Here is an 18,883-nt window from a genome sequence, read left to right on the forward strand (position 1 = left end):
AATGGAGGTGCTGTTGAAATAAACACTTTTAATAGCCAGCTTTTTCTATTTCTAGTTCCTTCATAAGATGGAATAGTAATTCTCTGATTTGCATTTCTGTATTTTGGGAAAAATGTAATTGACTTAATATAATAGGATGCTTCTTGAAGATGCTATTCTCAGGGTAATTTTGAATATTTAAAAATTATTCATGTTTTTCATAATTTTTATAATTTCGTAATTTTTTCAAAAACTCTGGGATGAATCAGCTGAAGTAACAAATCTTTAAAGTTCTAAAGCCTCCAGTTAGTCAGTGGTCATAAAAATATCAAGTTAATTAGAGCCTTAGAGCCTACTTTTATCTGAAATTCCATAATGTGGAGTAACATTCTTGTTGAGCCGTGAATGAGTGAATGATGTTATCACTTTTAAAATCAATAGGTTTTCCTTTTAAACTTTTAGGTTCCTTCTCAGTTTTTATTTATCTTGGGGAACATTAATTTGTCCACATGCCATTTACAAAATAGAAAATACACACAATGTTCTTCCCCATAAAATAAACATGGTGAAGTTGACATCTTACTAGATATTTTCTTTTCTAGCATACTTTTACCAGATTTAATGTAATGTAATTTTATTAACCCAGGTATTAAAAATATTCATCTTGAGGCTAATAAATGATTGTGACAAACCATATAAAATAATCAATTTTCTAGACTGTATGTGTCATTTAAGGGTTTAAAATACCAGTCTGTTTTTTAGTGACAGATGTTGAACTCATGTTTTTATCTCTTTTACAGGTTAATGTGTGAAACTGTGAGATATGAGAGACACGAAGCAAATGAAGTTTTATACTAGTAGGTGTTTCCTTTTTGTTTGTACAATGTATCTAATCCAGTGACTAAATTTTCTTAAAGTATCAAAGGAGTATTAGTAACAGCTGGCTAAGTCAGCACTAACTTATTTTTCTTAGTTGAGAAATGGGAAACATTTTATCTGTTTCCTGTCATAAAATAAAAGTTTACAGTTCTTTCCTGATAAGTTCACATTTGTGTCTATATTTGTATCTCTCACATGTGGGTCAAAGATACTATTTCATATTGTAGAGTATTTTGACATTTTTATTATGAAATAAGAAATAATATACAGTTTTTCTAATGGAACAAAACATATATTCCCACAGCCACACCAGATGAAATGTGAAGATAGCATAAAGGCCATATTTTAGTTTATAGTTCTTTCAGAAACAGGAAAATAAGCTGCCCCCATGTCTTTGGGTATAATTGCATCTTTCGATAATATTAATATTCTTTTCAAGATGTGCAACATATTCCTTAAGAAAAGACAGCGTATTCTTAAAGAATATATAGTAGATAAATATTGGCATATTAACATAAATTATGATTTATTAGACATTTTGTTTCAATAATGTTTGCCATGACTGTTGTTTTGTTGACTGGTTTTCAAAGCACTTACTTTCTACCTTCTAGACTTATTATAGGGAATATTTATTCAAATAAATAAGTCCCAGCTTCTGCCTTTAAGGAGTTCATAATCTGTTGAGGAAGGTAGAAATAGAATACAAGGAAAACAACAACAACAGAAACAAACAAAGCAAAATAATTGTGAGAATGTGGCTATGTTCCAAGGGTGGAAGAAGCACAAGGGAGCGTGTGAAGGAAATGAGGAGAGCCTCAGCAAAGGGGCTGTGGAACCAGGTCTCAAAGATGTGTCCCGGAGGCTGCAGACACTTTTTAGGCAGAAGGAACAGTATGTGCTGGGACGCAGAGAGGTGACGGGGCCTGGCCTGATGTTTTGAACATCATAGCAAGTTTAGTGTGACTGGCCTGTGGTGTGGGTCAGGGTGGTAAGTCAGGAGAAGACGCAGTCTACAGTCATACTTGGTCAAGAACGTGTTGTTCAGAAAACGACTTGGATCCTTCAGGCAGATCAGGTCCTGGGTTCTTCAGGAGATTTTTTTCCCTCCTAAATAACATGTTATGGAAAATTTCAGACACAATATTTGACACAGTGGTATCACAGACCCCCAAATACTCATTGTCCAACATGGCAAACCCATGGCCAATTGTGTTTTCATTTCTTACTCTCCCCTCCCAGCTCCAACTGGATGATTTTGAAGTAAATCCCAGACAGCACAGTTCATCCATAATTATTATGATATGTATCTCTAAAAGATAGTGACTTTAACAAACCTTAAACACAAGATTATCAAGTCTTTAAAAATAACTCTTTAATATCATGAAAATATTCAAAGTTTTTGTCCTTTTTTTTTAACAGCTTATTTATTTGAATCAAAATCTAAAGTTTATTCATTGTGATTGTTGATTTTCTTTAAGCCTCTTTTAATAGTAGCTTGGAGGCTGGTTTTCATGCAGCAAAATGATGTGATCACATGTCTCCCAACCCTCCCTATCTACCTGTTCCCTCAAAGGTAATACCTGTGGTTGTATGAAAATATGAAGGGTGAGTTAGATAGATTGAGTGTCTGGACAAAGAGATCAGTAAGGAGACAGTTACAGCCATCTGAGGTGGTAAGTGCTTGAACTGAGGCAAAGACTGAGGGAATGGAGGAGTCAGGGATGTTGGATTTTAGAAGAAGATACAGGTAGATAGAATCTAGGATGATTCTGAGGTTGCAACATGTGAAACTATGACGTCTGGGACCTGTTCAGCAGGCAATAATAAATATCCATCTCAAGCTTAAAAGAACCTACACCAAATATAGAGTCGTAAATAATCAAGAAGTATTTGATAATGAGAAAATTAACAAGAGGCAAGTGCTCTTAACATACTTATTCCCAGAAGAAATGAAGATGTTAATAAAGTGTTATTTTGGGAGCAATAAAAAGTTATCAGTGGAATGAGTATACAAATAACAGGGATAGAGACATTTGAATTCTATTACTGGCATTTATCAAAGCAGTCTAGTAGCAGTAAGCATCAACTTTCTAGTATTTTGTCTTCCTCTGAAACGTGGTTTGGATAGTATTGATGATGATGAGGTGATAGCCGACATTTAACACGCACTTCCTATGTCCCATGTCCTCTAATAAGTGATTTATATGCATTCATTTACTTATTCTTCGTGGATATCTTGTGAAGTACTTGTTATCATTATCCCAGCTGGACAAACTGAAGCTTTGAGACGATAAAGAACTGCCAAGCTCCCACTGCCTAATGTGGGACAAAGATTTGAGCCCAGACATTGTGATTCTGCAGCCATAGCTCTTATCCTAGTCACCAGCATTTTCTGACCCTTTTCATGCCTTGTCACCATAAAATAATGCTTGTGTACATGCTGGGGTAAACACACACTCTCTCCCTGCCCCAACCTGTTCTCCTAAAGTGGCAACTGAAACCCGCCAGCAGCTCATGCTACATTATGACTGCCTAACAATTATTATTGATTACTTATTTAAATCGAAGGTAGATTACAGTGTCTTCAAACATACCTGTTTTTTTTTTTTTTTTTTTTTTTTTTTTTCCCCAAGTAGGCTTAGAGGTTTAGACAGTGCATGTGAGCTATGCTGATAATGCCAAGCCATATTTTAGGTAATCTTAAATTTGAATGCATTCCACTCTGTAGAGTTGATTGTAGCACCTGCCCGTATTTGACTAGTTAGAAGTAGGTGACAGTGTTAGTAAGTGATGAAAAGTCTTTGGATATTCCACAAATTATGATTTCATAAGGCCCAAAATTCAGAGACTAATTGTAAATTCACATAATCAGATTTCTAGCGTTTGGCCAATCTTGTGATGAAATGTAGTTGAATTGTTTTCTTCCATGATCCTTAGACATGTTTCTGCTCTTACCAATTTGTGTGAGTTCGGTTTTGAAAATTAAAAATTATTGTATTTGTGTTATATATATAAATTTGTGATAATAATAGTACTCCTCTTTTTCGGACCTGTTATTATTACCTTTTGGGGAAATGACTTGTTTGTTCTTGTTCTTCCTTGAGTTTGAAGAACACAGTGTAGTCAGAAATATCAAAGGCTTTCACACTTTGGTTTTATGACCAAGAAATGAGTAGAGTAGTCATTTTATTATGTTTATGTGCTGGTGCCTTCTAAGTCTATGGTTTCAATAATTTTGCCAGGTAAATATAATACTCTTTTGATCCACCCCTGTACCTCGTTTTTCTCACCTATAATGTGGAACCGATAATAATAGTTCCTACCCGTCAGGGTTGGCATGAGGATGAGATACAGTAACCTGTACAGAGTGTTTAGAGCAGCATGTTCAGAATAAGTACATAAGCACGTTAGTGCCAGCATCATTGTCATTCTCATCACTGTTTGATAATTTACATTTTGGTCTTCCAATATTTTAGTTGCTTTAAATGTTTGTCAGGAAGGAATTATGATAGTGATGCTCTAGCTCTGATGGTGTTATTGTTTTAACATGAACGACCAAGATGACAAAAACGCCATTTTAGATTGTATTGAGTTGGGGGGAACATTGTGATTCTGATAAGATTGCATTTTTAAAATTTAGAGTTGCCCATTTGGAATCAAATTGTGTTGGTTTGCATTAGAAAGTTAGAGAAAATTAGCTCAACTTTACAGAATGGAAAAGCCTATCAGGTAATTTCTGCCTTCCTTGCCTTTATTATCTACTCTGTTAGGTATTGTGCTGTTTTGTGGGAATACTGAGGCGGATAATATGAATTCCTCACCAGAGGGACCTTAACTTATATTTGTTTTTATTTAACAATTTAATCTTAAATGAGAAACATATATGTAAAAACACTGGATAAATCGTAGTAAAAGTTGCAGCATACTGCCAATAAGAAGTTGGGAATTTGTTCTCTGGAAAAATTCTTTGAACCTGGGGCTGTCTCATAGTACACCATGGAAACTGATCTGCTTTAGTTGTTTCTTAATGGCCAGCTATCTTCACAAATAGTGAAGTGAAACGGAAATACTGTTTAATATATAATTACATTTAACGTGCTCAAAACCTTTGGATCAGAAATTCAACCATTGCAAAAGTTTAAGTGTCCACACACACACACGCCCACACTATAAATAAGTGTAACTGTGCACCTCATTGCCTGTTTTCCACATACATGTGAATGACTGCTTTGGTTTCCAAAAGAGTTTTCATAGCACTTTGTAAGGGGTTTCTCTCTCTCTATTCCAGGAGAGGAAATTGTTCTCCATAAAAGAGCTACATTGAGGCCTGTTGGGTCTTTTAAAGCATTTTCATTTAAATCTGTAAATGTGCAATTTAGAACTGCAAGCCTCAGCTGAGCTCTTGTTGCTTTTAGCAGTCTTTGCAGTTGCTGACTTGGCTTTCTGTTTTCACAGCAGCTATTCCCACTGCTCTGTGAGGCTGCTCAACCATCGCTGTCCCCTTTCCTTTCTCCCACACCTCCTCTAGGCAACTCTGCCTCAAGTTTGCTTTCTGGTCTCAAACACCCTAATTTATCTGTATCTGCATTTACCTCTTGTCCCACTCCTGTCTCTAGGAGGAAGGGATGTCATTTTGCCTGTATGATGGAGTTATTTCTGTTCTCATTTGTATCTTCAGCCTCTTCTTCCTGCCGCGTTTCTGAGACCGTAAGCCTGACCCTAAGCGTGCCACGATGCCTTCCATCCTGAAGTTTCTCCTTTGCCTCTCTTACTCATATCCAATTATTACACTATTTTTTCCTTCTTGATGTGACCAAGATTTTATTTTACTTTACATCACAGTAAATTGTTTGAAAATTATTACAAAAGCACTAATCTACTACTTAGATCATTTTTATAGCCCCCCACCCCTACCCCAGGAAGCAAAATACTGCGATTCTTTCTTTTATTTTCTTTTCTTTCTTTCTTCCTTTCTTTCTTTCTCTTTCTTTCCTTCTTTCTTTCTTTCTTTCTTTCTTTCTTTCTTTCTTTCTTTCTTTCTTTCTTTCTTTCTTTCTTTTTCTTTCTCTCTCTTTCCTTCCTTCCTTTTTTTCTTTCTTTCCTTCCTTCCTTCCTTCCTCTCTCTTCCTCTCTTCCTCTCTCTCTCTCTCTCTCTTTCTTTCTTTCTTCTTACTGTTTTTTTCTTGAGGCAGAGTCTAGCTCTGTTACCCAGGCTGGAGTGCAGTGGCACGATCTGAGCTCACTGCAACCTCCACCTCGCTGGTTTAAGCCATTCTCGTGCCTCAGCCTCCCAAGTAGCTGGGATTACAGGCATGTGCCACCACGCCTGGCTAATTTTTGTAGTTTTAGTAGTGCTGGGGTTTCGCCATATTGGCCAGGCTGGTCTCAAACTCCTGACCTCAAGTGATCCACCCACCTTGGCCTCCCAAAGTGCTGGGATTACAGGCGTGAGCCACTGCGCCTGGCCTCTTCTGTTTTTACCCAGCAAGATGTAACCACCGTTTTGAAGTATTTTTCTGTCCTAATTTTATTATGCTTATGTGTGTACATAAAGAAAATGGTGGCTCGAGGTGGGCGGATCAGTTGAGGCCAGGAGTTCGAGACCAGCCTGGGCAACATGGCGAAACCCCATCTCTACTAAAAATACAAAAATTAGGCGTGGTGGCATGAGCCTGTAATTCCAGCTACTTGGGAGGCTGAGCCACGAGAATTGCCTGAGCCCCAGCAGCAGGGTTTGCAGTGAGCTGAGATCACACCTGGGCAACTGAGACCCTGTCTCAAAAAAAAAAAAAAAAAAAAAGTGAAACCAAAGGTTTTAATTTATTTGAAAAAATGGCATCTTTAAAGACTTAGCCTTTGCATGGAATTGTAGGACACGGGTGCTCAACCACCTCGCCTGTATGTAAGTATGAGAATTCAAGCACATGCACACCCATGCCCACACAGATACTTACGAAGGACTGTTTTATGTACATACGGAGATCCTTTAAGGCTTCTTGACAATGATATTTTTATATTACTATTTTAAAATGAAAATGTTTTATTTTTATGTTGAGCAGAAGAGTATTTAAATAAAAACGTTGTTAAAAATACAATTAATCCATAATCTTCATGAGGGTAGGGACTATGTTTGTTTCAGGTTTGCCTTCTCATGCCTACCATGGAAATTTGCATTTAGTCTGTTCCCGATGGTTTTTTTTTTTCAATTCTCTATTCAAAAGAAGGAACTCCTTTGATCTGTAGATAAAGACCTTCATTATGGTCTCACTTCCTAATAAAATGGCTGGTTACACATCATCAGGTGTTGGATTCTTCGTATCAATTTTCTGTGAAACTGCTTAGTGAATAAAAACCTGTTTAGGGTAAGGTATAGGAGAAAAATACAGCTTGCTTTTTATATCCTTTCTGATGTGAGGGGTAGTGGTGCTGTCAGGTGTTTTGCAGTATTGTTGCAGTTTCTTGCTGTTGGGACTCCTATAGTGAAGTTAGGCAGATTTAGCTTTGAATTTGACTCTGTCTCTGGGTGTGTATAAGTTACCTTTCATTTTTCTGAGACCCAGGTGACTCCAGGTGAGAAACAGGTTTCTTGTGAAGATAAAATTGCAGCATATGAATCTAAAAGAGACATTTGTAAATTAATTTCATAACCCATTAGTAGTTTCCAAAAGAGTCAAAATTTCAGATTCTTTTAAATGTGATAAATTGTTCCTTGAGCCCTTGGATCTATTTCTTTACCCTCAGTTTAGCTGACTCATCGATTTGATGTAATCTCTCTCTCTCTCTATATATATATATAGTTTGTATTGGTGTTTTTCCTTTCATTTATCATTTATTGAATAGCTTCATAACTCCCAGTGTTTCACTCCTTCCTTTCATGTTAAAAATGAATTTCATAAATTTAAGATTGTGCCAGGCACAGTGGCTCATGCCTGTAATCCCAGCACCTTGGGAGGCTGAGGTGGGTGGATCGCTTGAGCCCAGGAGTTCGAGACCAGCCTGGACAAAATGGCACGACCCTATCTCTAAAAAAATACAAAAATTAGCCAGTGTGGTGGCGCACCTCTGTGGTCCCAGCACTGCTCAGGAGGCTGAGGTGGGAAGGTCACTTGAGCCTGGGAGGCGGAGGTTGCAGTGAGCCAAGAGTGCACCACCGCACTCTGGCCTGGGTGACAGTGAGACTTTGTCTCAAAAACAATAATAAAAATAATAAATAATGAAAAAAATGATAACATTAATGAGCCTATAGAATATCTGGCTTTACTGGTTCTTTAGTAGTTTACATTGTTTGCTAGTTAAAAAAAAAGGATGTCTGCTGTGTCCCCTGTATTTTCAGTATAAAGATGAAATGTCTTCAATATTTTCATCAGCTTTCAGAGTTCTTATTGATCTTACTGACTTTTCCTGTTTTGTTGGTTGCAATTCCTTGTAAATGAATTGCTATTGTTTGGAAAATAAGGATTTTTTTTGAAAATCTTAAAATGGTGTTTTCTTTCTTCAGAGTTTTTAATTATAAATGAAGTAATTTCCTTACAATTTAGAACTTTTAAGAAATAGAATAAAAATTACCCTCTACTTTAAAAATGTCATTTGTTTTCTTATTGTGGGAATTTATATATAATTGATATATTTACATATAACTCAGTATTATGAATAATATCATTTTATAATAAAATATCAGTATTCCAACAGTGGAAATTGTAAATACCAAAGCCCTTAACTCTTGTTAGTCCTCCTTCTAAAATTTGGCGTATACTTCATGTTTTAGTACATGCACTTTATATTTCTTTTGGCTTGATATCATTGTTGGGGTTGCTTACTGTGCTGTGTTGCATTAACTTATCTAGTGAGCTTGCTTTGTGCCATTTGACTATACAAAAATAAATAATGAAAACTTTGTCTATCAGCTTATAGCTCAGCGCTCCATCAGAGGAGTAAAAATATACAAATTTTTAAACTGTAATAAATCCAGTAACAGAAATGATGTAATGTATTTGTGAAAAAGATTAAAATTATTGTGTATCTGGAAAGCCATCTGTCTATTGGAAGGTGGCCATTGTTAGAACTTATTTTTTTGAAGCCGTGGAACACTTTGTTCATAGAAAATCCTGTTCAGCCCAACAATAGTAGCTATTATGGTTGAAAGAGGTTTGGACGCCTTGAAATCCCAAGGGCTCTTGACATTGAAAACCTCTGATCTCAACTGTCTGCGGGACGCCTATAAAAGGATAGAGGATAATTTGTTGTAAATAAGTAATTTTCACTGTGGTTTTTTGGCATAATCGTATATTTGAGAGCACAAGTCTAAGCTGGCCAGAAGTCTGTAATAACAGCAGTGTAGGTGAGCAAAAATGGGACCCTGAACTGTAGCAAAGGGTTTCGATAGAGACTTGGGAGGGGAACCCGCAGAATGTGATGATAGGCTGTGAAGAGGGAGAAGCTTCGGAAGTTGTCCCTTTATCTTTTGGTTGGAGGGTGTTGGTGAGACCGCAGATACAGGAAAATAAAGGTGTTTTTCTATTTTTTGGTCATGGGTGGCTGGCCCTCTGGAGTTCCTTGTGGTCCCCATGTAGTTATTGGAACCTTTGTTAGTCTTCATTTTATTTCACTTTCTTGTTTTATAGGCATGTGATCAATAGCCCTCGATGATGATTCCTGTCTCCTTTTCTCCAGATGCCAACAGCTTTGTCTTTTGAATGTGATACTGTGCGGTATTACATCCTGGATAGTATAAAGTGACCTTTCTAAAATAGCACCAAAATTGGTATTTGATGCTATATGTGGTTCTCAGTTGTGCCGAACCTGTCTCAGATAGCTGTGTCGTGTGCTCGGCTCAGCCACTGTTTCTGGACATTTTGCCTATTCTTTCTCACAAAGCAATCGCCATCTTTTTGCTTCTCTGTTTTAATGACCTTGTTAATGCTGTCCATGTGAAGCATTTAGAGGAGCTTCCTCACTCCCCTGGGCCGCTTCAGGCTTGGCCATATTGCACTTGCTCTGCTAGAGTGGGAGGAGTCTCTTCTTGTACCCCATACACCCTCCTTGTTTCATATTTTGTCAGGATCATCTGGGAAAGCACTAACTTCTAGTTCCAGTTTGCTTAGATTTTGCATGGGCACCATTCTTTCTGTTTCTGTTTATTGCTTCTCCACTCCCGAAAACCCCCCAAAACTTAGATGGCCATGTTTGTGGCTGTTGGGAGTCTTGTTTTGAGCTGATGGTCTTCTAGGATCAGCATCCTTTACCCACAGCCACTTCCGCAACGCCTGCCGCTCTGTTTTCTTTCAACTCTCTTTTCTCTCCTTGTCAGTCCCCCTTGGCTTTTCTTTCTTTCTTCGTTTTTTTGGCGGAGTTTTGCTCTTGTTGCCCAGGCTGGAGTGCAGTGGCATGATCTTGGCCCACTGCAACCTCCGCCTCCTGGGTTCAAGCGATTCTCTTGCCTCAGCCTCCCGAATAGTTGGGACTATAGGCACCCACCACCATGCCTGGCTAATTTTTGTATTTTTAGTAGAGACGGGGTTTCACCATGTTGGCCAGGTAGATCTCAAACTCCTGACCTCAGGTGATCCACCTGCCTCTGCCTCCTAAAGTGCTGGGATTACAGGCGTGAGCCACTGTGCCTGGCCTCCATGAGCAACCTTTTTGGCTGACTGGGCCTCACTTAAGTTTTCACATTGTATTAACAGCTGAATGAAGTAGCATTTTCACAGTTATTTTCTTGCCCTCTAATAATTGTCTTTGCTGATTTAATCAGTTTTCTTTGGACTTAGTAGTTTTTTGTTCTTTCAGTTCCCTTGTCAACTTCAACTTGATCGCTTGCATTTACTGGCCACCTCCTTAAATGAGAATGTGGAGCGGCACACACAGCTCTTTCCCATGGAGAGAGTGCCACCTTGTGGATCTCTAGGATATTGCCGAGGAGGCTCTTAGATCCTGGCTCCATTTTTCCATTTACTGGTAAACTGAAGTTCACATCTTTGACTTTCAAGCACTTTAATACCTTACCTGGGTTCCTGTCTATTCAGTTCATTAATTTACTTATTAAGAAAATATTTGAGTGCCAATCAAGCATTATGTAGTGTATATATTGGGGGTACTTAAGAGTTAGAGGAGTTTAAAAACTATTGAGGAGAAACTCCCAATGTGAATAATTATGACGTTCTGGCACCTGCGTCACGTGAGCATGTACACAGGGCACTGGGAAGCTGGAAGAAAGCGACTCACTTTCCTTGGAATATACCAAAACACTTCTCAGAGGAGGTGATAGTTAACCTGGAACTAGAAGGATGAGTAATAAATTTACAAGAGAAAATATACTATTTAGAAGCTAGACTGCAGGTTTGTTCAAAACCTTTGTGGCATAGGTGGAAAAAAAAATGTGTGGCCTGGCCGAACAGGATGAAGTTTGCAGCATAAGGAATGTTGGGGTTGGGAGCAGAAAGCAAAGCTGTAGGTTGGTCCTTTCAGAGACGATCGTAAGAGAGGAAAGGAGATGAGGAAGATGAAGAGAACTAGTATTTTTTGTTACCATCATGCAAGGTACTGCATATATATTGTTTCATTAAATAAAAGGAGCTCTGTGAAGAAGGCATCAATGTCTTCCATTTTGCAGTTGAGGAACTAGAATCTCAGAATTTGACTTTACCACGATCACGTGGCTAGCGTGGAAGAAGGAATCTGTGCTCCAGAACCTGCGCTCTTTGCACAGCATTTCCTGCTTCCTTCATGGGCTCTGCCAGGGGGTTTGGACCTTCTCCTGTGAAGGACCATGGGGTTCATCAGAAGGATGTCATCTGATCCGATTTACCTGAGCAAATGATCACTGAAATGTTTCCCAGCTTCTACTAGGCATGATGCGCAGTTCCTGCCTTGAAAGGAAGTTCATTGTAGTTGGAAGAAGATGCTCAGGAATAAGAAATCATTACAGAAAAACATAAAACAATGAAATTAGATGGGCTAAGTATTTTAGAGTTTGGAAAACAGTGAGTGAGAAGATTTTCTTAAAGTAGTAGTTTTTGAGCCATCTCTTAAGGTACAGTGGGATGTAGAGGGTAGATGGAGAGAGGTAAACATCTTGAACAGCATGGCAGAGTTGGAATGAACAGAAGGAAAGCAGCCTGTCAGGAGCAGCAGGTTATGTTGAGGGGTAGTAGGAAGGAAGGTGGGAGAGGTGAGGGGGTCAGATCAAGTATTTCCCTCATGCCCATTATTCTTTGTTTAGACTTGGGATAATGCTCAGCGGGGATCATACAGTTCTGATTGCCCCAGAGGCTTTCTATCTGTTTACATTGGAAGGTGAACTGATCATTTTATAATGGTCTGTATTTGGTTTTGTTTGGCCTCGTTAATTTCCTTCCTGTTGATGAAAAACAGAAACAGGAGCCTTTTAGAGTTTCTCGTTATAAACCAGGGCTTTTGTGACTTCCGTTTTGTCCATTGTGGGATGAGATGTATTGAAATGAAATCAGTTGTCCATTGTGGTTCCTAGCTCAAGATCCTGTGGTCAAATTCTGAGATTCTAAGAAGGATTTGGTCTTCTGTAAGCGTGAATTCCCCTGATTAGAGAGACTCGCAAGTACTGCTTTCCTATACGAACCTCTTTAGTCTTCAGATTTCTGTTTTTTGCCCAGTACTGGTAGTGTCAGGTTATTTGGAAATCCTCAGTCAGGGTTCTTTCAGGATTAAGCTTTGGCATTTCAGCAACACTTGAAGGGGCTCCTTTGCTCATAATTTTAAAAAAAAATTATTTGAGGAAAAATTAAAATAGCACTGATTAATACAATGTATGTACCTAGTTGCATGGATATTAATAGAGTTGTACTTTTTTTCCTGCCATTTGTTCCTCTTGGGAGTTCATATTGAGACCATTTTTTCTGAAAGTTTTTCAGAGTTGGCCAGCCCCATGTGTAAGAAACATCCAGGATATTTGTTTAAAAGTCACTTTGATGGATCTCCTATCTAATGATCAGAAACTGGGGAATTGGGTGGGATAGATGCATTTTAAATTAACATCTTAGGTGATTCATTTGCACATCAGGGCCTGAGAACTACTAGATAGAATAGAATCTCAGTGTTAGTCTTAGATATTTATTATTATTACTACCACTACACTTACTTCTTGTCTTACAATGTGGTTACATCCCAATAAACCCACTATATGTTGAAAACATCCTAAGTCAAAATGCAGTTAACGTACCTAGCCTACTGAACATCATTGCTTAGCCTAATGATATGGTTAGGCTCTGTGTCCCCACCCAAATCTCATGTCAAATTGTTGTGCCATTGGGGGAGGGACCTAGTGGGAGGTGATTGGATCATGGGGGCAGATTTCCCCTATGCTGTTCTCATGATAGTGGATGAGTGTTCATGAGATCTGGTGGTTTAAACATGTGTAGCACTTCCCTCTTTGCTTTCTTTTCTGCTCCACCATGGTAAAACATGCTTGCTTCCCCTTCGCCTTCCCCCATGATTGTAAGTTTCCTGAGGTGTCCCCAGTCATGCTTCCTGTACAGCCTGCGGAACTGTGAGCCAGTTAAACCTCTTTTCAAGTTACCCAGTCCCAGGTAGTTCTTTATAGCAGTGTGAGAACCGACACATACACTTAGGCTACTGTAAACATGCTCAGAACACTTACATTAGCCTACAGTTGGGCAGGATCTTTTTTTTTTTTTGAGACAGAGTGTCGCCCTGTCACCCAGGCTGGAGTGCAGTGGTGCAATCTTGGCCTCACTGCAAGCTCCGCCTCCCGGGTTCACGCCATTCTCCTGCCTCAGCCTCCCGAGTAGCTGGGACTACTGGCACCGCCACCATGCCCGGCTAATTTTTTTTGCATTTTTAGTAAAGACGGGGTTTCACCGTGTTAGCCAGGATGGTCTCGATCTCCTGACCTCGTGATCCACCCACCTCTGCCTTCCGAAGTGCTGGGATGACAGGCATGAGCCACCGCGCCCAGCCGCGCAGGATCTTTTAACACAAAGCCTATATTATAACAAACTGTTGAGTACCTCATGTAATTTATTGGATATTCTATTGAAAATGAAAAGCAGAATCGTTGTGGTGCTGGAAGTTGAGTGTGTCGTAAAGACAAAAAAGCTTGTCAGACCATTGGAAGTTGGGCACCGTCTGTACTATTATTATTATTGTCAGTCTTCTCTTAACCAGCTTCATTGCCTGGAAGTGAGGTCTCAATTTGCATATCCTTTAAGTACTGAACAATTTGCTGCTGCTACTACTAAGTACTATTTTCATAATTTCAGTTTCATTTTTCTTAAAAAAACCATCACTTTCCCATTTTTACATACACATGTAAAAACCCTCCAGTGACAGCTAGCTGCACTGTGGAAAGGAAGTGTTTGCAGACCTTGAAGGGAAGCACGTTGTACCCCACACGGAAACTCTGCCTGCCTGAGGCATGATTGTAAGTGAAAAGAGTAAGCGTGGTTAGTTCAGTGCTTTCTAATAAAGTAAGGGGAATTTTCTAGACTAGTAAGACTAAATAAAACATATTTCGATGCTGACACCTCAGCAAGGAATTTTCATAACAGGAACTAAACATGAATTCTATGGGGGATGGATAGGAGGAGAGGAGAGGGGTTTTTCTAGCTTACAACTATTTCCAGAACATCTGTAAAATAAGAGTCACTGTTTTTTGTATTCTTACATTTCTTAACTATGTATTCTTACTTTTAATTAACTTACTTTTCCAAAATCTGAATCCTTAGAAGGGATAGCTCAAAGAAATTTTGCTTATCATATGTGGCCTGGCATGTGGTAAATGCTCACTGAATTTAATAAATGTTGATTGAATGGTCATTCTCTGCAAATGCCTACTAAAGCAAATATAACTCTTGCAAGTTAGCTTTGGATTCTTTGGGGAATGTAGAGAAACAGCCTATCTATCAGATAAACAAAATTGTAATAAGTGGTAGAGATTACCACTTACCTTCACATCCTCAAATCTTTCCCATGGATTTCCTGATATAAAGAGTCAACCCTAAATATAGGCTAATCGACGGGTGGTAAGGATGCTAGAGCATTCACTGCCACAGTATTTTACCGACTTTGAACACTGGTTGCCTTTCACTTCAAGTGTGTTTTATTATCAGTGCCAGGAGAGCTGAGTTTGTAAGCCTTGTGCTTAATTTGTCGATATTATTTTTGCCTTCAGAGTTGACAGACATGAAATAATTGAAAAGCCAGCTAATGTTTGTTATTTCTCTCTGTCACAGATAATCTAGATCATGGTGCCATTTATTGTACTTTCTAACATGTTAACTCTATTAGTTGTCACTGAATAATTATTTGCATTTAATGATCACGAACTGTTCATTTAATCCTTGCAGCAGCCTAGTAACTTGCCCCAGGCCACATAGTTAGGAAGTGGCAATCTACCTTAATTTCCTATTTTTCTAGATTTTATTTCCTTGGGCTAACGTTTTTTGTGATAAATGGAACACTGTAAAAACAGATTTTAAAAAGTTTACAGAGTATTTTTTTTCCCGCTTTCTGTTTTAGTGTTTCACCATTTGTTATTTAAAAATTATTAAACTAGTTTTGGGTCTGGAATAACAGTTTTACTTGGCATAATTCAGAATTTGAGAATAATGCTGTCATATTAATAAAGACAAATAAGTTTTTTTCACAAACCAAACGAATGATTGCTGGTTGCAAGAGCTAATGATTAAAAACTGAGGAGACAAAAATATGAATTACTCTTTGAAGTACTTTGCATTTTCACTTTAGAAATCTTTTTATTTTTATGGTTCTGCATTCAAACTGAACTCTTTGACAGTGCTTTTCCGTTATGTTTTCTTGAGGCATTGCTGTTGAGCTAAGTAGTCATGAATTTGGTGAAGAATGGACTTGGGGGGAAAGATGTTCCACTGCTGATTCACTTTGGAAGTAGATAGCACAGTGAAAATGATTAGGTGATAGTGATTGACATTATTAAGTAATGTAATTATTCAGAGTTGTAAATAGAATTTAGTGTCTTCTAAAAAACTTTTTAATGTCACAATACAGAAACCAAACAAAACAAGGACTTGGCAGAAATTGCTGAAGACTCCCTTGCAACGTGCATATGGTTCATGGGGATCTGAGAGGAGCATAGTATGCAGCGTCTATGATGTACTCTTGAAAGAAATGGGGTGTGCTCTGTGCTTCCTTTCTACTCCTCCCACTGGCTGGAGTGTGGATGTGGTGGATGAGATTTGGACCTGTCACCCTAGAATATGAGATGGAAGCCATGGGTTGAGGATGGCTGAACCATAAAATAGAGTGTGGCTTCCCAATATCGTGGAAACATCTTACCAGTCTTGGACTTCCAGTGTTCAGACTATTTTGTGTGTGAGAAAGAAATGAACTTTGGTTCATTTGGTTATGTTATGCCATTGCTATGTTTAGATTTTTGTTTTAATAGTAGCTGAGTTTATGTCCTAACTAATAAATTTGATGCAATTGACTATGTGTGATAAAATAACTTATTCATGGCAGAGAGCACCATAAACCAAGTCCAAGGGTAAGCAGCAAACTGGGAGAAAAGATATTCACAGCTCATGTTTTCAGAAGGCCAATTTTTATAAAGTACCCCTAGGAAAAAAAAAGAAATCTCACAATTTTTTTTTTTGTTTTTGAGACAGAGTCTCTCGCCATGGCACCCAGGCTGGAGTGCAGTAGCACAATCTCAGCTCACTACAACCTCCGCCTCCCGGGTTCAAGCGATTCTCCTGCCTCAGCCTCCCAAGTAGCCGGGATTATAGGCGTGAGCCACCACACTGGCTAATTTTTTTGTATTTTTAGTAGAGACGGGGTTTCACCACGTTGGCCAGGCTGGTCTTGAACTCCTGACCTCAGGTGATCCGCCTGCCTGAGCCTCCCAAAGTGCTGAGATTATAGGTGTGAGCCACCATGCCCAGCCAAAAAAAAAAAAAAAAAAACCCTCACAATTAATTGGAGACTTAGAGTAATTAGAGACTTAGTTAAAAGTTATGAAGTGATTTTACAAAAAAAAAATAGAAATGACTCATGAACTTAAAAAAGATGGTCTTATATGAAAAACAAACTGAGATATCATTTTCACCAAGCCGATTGGCAAAACATCCAAAAGCACTAAAGTCACCCTGACCTTGCGAGGCAGTGGCAGCCCATGGCCTTTGCACTCACACTCCTGATCCTCCCTGCCTGTTGCCTGGAATGCTGCTCCCTTCAGGATCCACGTGGCTAACTCACCTCCTTTGCTCAAATGTCTTCTCTATGAGACTTGAATGTAATCTCCGTGAGGGCAGGGATCTTTTTGTTGTTGTTCCCTGACATATCCTAAACATCCAGAAAAGCCTTCCACATAAAATTTGTCAATATTTGTTAAATTATAACAAACTATATTAGTAAGGTTGTGGGGAAGTAGGTAGGCATATAAATTGCTAACTACCTGTGGAGGACAGTTTGACAATACCTAAGAAGATTACTATGTATGTGCTCCTAGACCCAACAGTTGCCTTTCTTCCAGCTACTACTGTATGTGCAAAATTACTATTGCAGTTTTTATTTGTTTTTATATAATTGTATAATATTGAAAACAATGGGAAATGACTATCAGTAGGGGGTTGCTTAAGTCAAATATGGCACATCCATACATGCTTTACAGCAGTAAAAAGAATACTCAAGAAAGCTATCTTTTGATGAAAAGATCTCTGAGTTATTGCAAAAGAAAAGAACTGTGTAGAGTGTGCTGTCTTTTCTGTAACAAAGAAGAAAGATGATGGGAGGGATAAGAATATATGTCCATTATTGTGTGCATATACATAAAGAAATTCTAAAAGAATACCGAAGAAATAGTGGAGAAATGTGAGAACTTGCTGGACAGGGAAAATGATTAGAAATAGTAAGTTTCACTGATAGCTCTGGGTATTTTTTCATTTTATGAAGCAAGTGAAAGTATTTCATGTTCAAAAAAAGTAAAAAAACTTAGAATGGTAGATGCTATAGGTCTAAGGAACATTTGAAACATTTAAATGTACTGATAAATATATTTGGTGTATTTCAGGGATACAAAGTAATTTGTAAAAATGATTTCAGTAGTTGAATAATGGTATTTTTATGAATGTGTTGTATGCTATTCTTTATTATTTTAAAAGTAATATGGGTGCTGCACTTTGTGCTATATGTTTTAATTTTTTGTTGTTGTTGTTATAGGTAACAATCTGATTCTGTTACCTTTTCTTTTCAGCCCTGATGATATTGGGACCTGCTGGTATATCCTTCTTTCTGGTTCCGTGTTCATCAAGGAATCCATGTTTCTTCCAAGAAGCAGGTATTGTATAGACATTCTGTAATAGATTATCCATGAAGCTTGAAATTCTTTTGCAGAATTCAGTTCTAAAATTCTTTTCTCTTCCTGTGTTCTCTTCTGCTGATACAAAGCAAGACAGTACTTTGGGGTGTTGATGCATGAATCTTTAAGAAATAACTTTGTTTTGTATATACTTTTCCAATCTCTTTAACAAAGGGCAAGAACAGAAAACATGCTGATGACATGTGCATTTGTTACATGATCATGTCAGCTGTGTTGAGGGCACATTTGCTCCTAGGGAATAAAATCAGCTCAAGATAGCTTAGATAAAGGGGGACGAACTTAAAGAGTATAGCAGGCAGTCTCATAAACATCTAAAGAGAGGCAAAGAAAGTTCATTAAGACCACATGGGACTAGAAATGGAAAGCCAGGGACTTTCATTGACATTTTTTGCTTCTCAAGACCATATGGCCTTTCATTTTTGCATTTGTCTGTGGATTGGCTACCTGCTCTGTAAGGCTGTTAATTCCTTTCTCCCTGTGTCTTTGGCTTGTATGTGCTGACTACTCACTTATGGCCTTATGTCCCTAATGTTTACATTGTTTTGACTGCAGTGCTGGTATTGTCTTTAGATTCCTCAGGATACAATCTGACTGGCCTGGGTTGGGGCGGATGTATTCCTCTGTTCCAACCAGCTGTGGCCAGAAAGGGTTAGGGCTCATCTGTTACATACATGATTG

General features: G+C 38.4%; 1 protein-coding gene across 2 annotated transcripts in view; it reads left to right on the forward strand.

Annotated features, from left to right (window-relative positions):
* RAPGEF2 (Rap guanine nucleotide exchange factor 2) overlaps positions 1–18,883 on the forward strand; it is a 257,095-nt gene that overhangs the window by 89,342 nt on the left and 148,870 nt on the right. For both annotated transcript variants that reach the window (NM_001351724.5, NM_001394067.2), the window contains exons 3-4: positions 780–836; positions 18,080–18,163. In NM_001351724.5, the coding sequence (NP_001338653.1) occupies positions 780–836; positions 18,080–18,163 (141 nt within the window). The remainder of the gene's footprint in view (positions 1–779; positions 837–18,079; positions 18,164–18,883) is intronic.

Source organism: Homo sapiens, chromosome 4, assembly GCF_000001405.40.
Source record: "Homo sapiens chromosome 4, GRCh38.p14 Primary Assembly".
NCBI lineage: Eukaryota > Metazoa > Chordata > Mammalia > Primates > Hominidae > Homo > Homo sapiens.